A 3,075-nucleotide genomic window follows, 5' to 3' on the forward strand; every position below is an offset into this window, starting at 1 on the left:
CCAGCCGTTTGCCTGGTCTAGGTTGCTTACCTAGTGGAGTAATCCAAACCTTCCTTTCTCTTTATCATGTCAGGCCATATATGCTGTAGATGCTTGTCTCATCACTAAGCATGAACTATCAAGAAGCTTTTCAGCAAATCTGCATTCCAGATATATTCCTTCCTACTTCCATTAACTACTAACATTTCTATCTTGGGATACTCAGAGTCAATTACCCTGGCCAATATAGAAACTCCTATTACAGTGAAAATTTGTGTAGCCACAGCTTCAGATTTAGTGGGACCCTTGTTCTGTCCCTTAATAGAAGCATCCTCCATGCATGAATTAGGGCTTTTAATAACACAGAGCATAAAGTTGGAAATGGAAAGTACAACTTCCCACGTGGGTCACGGAATAAAGGTAAGATGGGCTGCTCCTACTTCTACCCTTTATTTCCCAGATCCTTATATTCTAGCTATAATACAAATACATAGACCATATAAAGTTTATTAATTCAAAGCATATACCTCAGGCCAGACAAGGGGGCTTACATTTGAAATCCCAGTGCTTTAGGGGGCCAAGGTTGGAGGATCACTTGAGCTTAGGAGTTCAAGACCAGCTTGGGCAACATAGGGAGACCCCGTCTCTGCAAAAAAAATTAAAAAATTAGCCGGGAGGCCAGGTGCGGTGGCTCATGCATGTAATCCCAGCACTTTGGGAGGCCAAGACGGGTGGATCACCTGAGGTCAGGAGTTCAAGACCAGCCTGACCAACATGGAGAAACCTCACCTCCACTAAAAATACAAAATTAGCTGGGCGTGGTAGCACATGCCTGTAATCCCAGCTACTAGGGAGGCTGAGGCAGGAGAATCACTTGAACCCAGGAGGCAGAGGTTGCGGTGAGCCAAGATCGCGCCATTGCACTCACCCTGGGTAACAAGAGTGAAACTCCATCTCCAAAAAAAAAAAAAAAAAAAAAAAATTAGCAAGACATGGTGATGCATGGCTCTGGTCCCAGCTGTTTGGCTTGCTGAGCTGGGAGGATCACTTGAGCCTGGGAGGTGGAGGCTGCAGTGAAATGTGATTATGCCACTGCAGCCATTGTCACTGGGTAACAGAGCAAGATCCTGTCTCAAAAACAAAAACAAAGAAACAAAGTATATACCTCATCATTAAGTACAATATCTCAACTCCCAGAGTGTCATTCCCAAGCTAGTGCCTTAGCTATGCTTTCCTACATTCTGTTAGGTCAGAAACGTTTTAATTACATGGTAGGACCACTTCGATCCAATGTGCTCATGTGTCCATTGGTCACATTTCTTTTCCCAGAATGTGGGTCCCTTGATCCAAGGTTGTTATATGTATCCTATATCAGTAAATCAGACCCTTTGTGCTCCTGGGTAGTAGTTTTGGCCAAGATACTGAAGTTAGCCAAGACCAACCCATTCCAGCAATATGTACAAATTCTAATAAAGAACATATTGCTGTCCCCTCCATGGGGAACGGTCTCATGTAATTAACCCTGAGCGATAATGCTGAAACACAACCAATAGAACCCTTAGAATCTTGGACAAAGCTATGACACACAGTAAGTGAAGTAGAAATTTCAGAACTTCCCATGAAAGATAGTGAAAGAAGATATCAAAAGGCTTAAAGGAGCAGTGGGCATGCTACAGTAAATATATAAAGCCAGAAAACCCACCAATTGACTATATCCTGTGGAAAACCCAAAGGACATTTTGTTTTCTGAATCAATAAAAAATGTATTAGTGAGAATAGCACCAGCATCAATTTTAATAAGCTTAATGTAGGCCAGGCACGGTGGCTCATGCCTGCAATCCCAGTACTTTAGCAGCCTGAGGCAGACGGATCATTTGAGGCCAGGATTTTGAGGCCAGCCTGGCTAACATGGTGAAACTCCATCTCTACTAAAAATACAAAAATTAGCCAAGAGTGGTGGCACTCACCTGTAATCTCAGCTACTCAGGGCACTGAGACACAAGAATCAATTGAACCCGGGAGGCAGAGGTTGCACTGAGCCAAGATCACACTACTGCACTCCAGCCTGGGCAACAGAGAGAGACTCTGTCTAAACAAAAAAACAAAAAACAAAACCAAACAAAACCACAACAATCTGTTTCCCTATCCTCAGGAATTCTGGAAGAAAGAAAAAGGAGAGAAAACTCAATGTGGTATCTCCTTGGTAGGCAAGGGCTACTGGTAAGAGATGCTCCTATACAACAGGGGTCAGTGAAAGCAATGCAGATAATAGGTTCCTAAATTGATACAGGCAGGAGCATGCATCTATCATAAACCAGATGGGTACAATTAATGTGAAGAATGGCAAAGGTGGGGTAGCAGTCACAGGTCTTGACCCACAGAGAGATCTGGAGACAGATGTGGTAAATCTAGGTGCAAAGCAGATAGGCAGCCAACAAGAGTATGCTTAATATATACAACCAGAAGAAATCAAAGATAGATTGTCAGGAGGCTGAAGTTCACCATCCCAATAAAGAGTCACAAGCATTTATCTGGTTTCTGTATCTGAACCAGTTTAAACATTATGCTTATTGATGAAAAGAGAGCCTGGGACCTCAGAAGGAAGGACTCTGCAACACAGTAACAAGTGTGCATGGTAATAATTGACCCCGTTTTTCTGTATATACTATGTGACCATATCCTAGGGAAAGGAAAAAGGGCAGTGAGTCTGAGTTGACATTGATACCTGGGGATCCAAGGCATCATCAATGGCCCCCATGTTAGAGTAGGGTCATATGAAAACCAGGTAATAAATGGAGAGCTCATGAGAAACCACTGGGTCCATGAACTCACCCAGTGGCTAGTTCCCAAGATCCCAATGTCCATTTGGGATGAACATACTTGCTAGTAGACACAACACCTGCTTTGGTTCCATGGCATATGAGGTAAGAGGTATCCTAGTGAGAAAGGCCAAGTGGAAGCCTCTGAAACTATCTGCTCTCCTGGCTAAGAAAGTAAATCAAAACTAAAATTACATTCCAGGAGGAACGATTGAGATTACTGAGATGAAGTGGTGGTCCCCATTAAATTTTATTTCACCAAACTGGCCCCAGCCAA

This window comes from Homo sapiens, chromosome 3 (genome assembly GCF_000001405.40).
Source record: "Homo sapiens chromosome 3, GRCh38.p14 Primary Assembly".
In the NCBI taxonomy this organism is placed as follows: domain Eukaryota; kingdom Metazoa; phylum Chordata; class Mammalia; order Primates; family Hominidae; genus Homo; species Homo sapiens.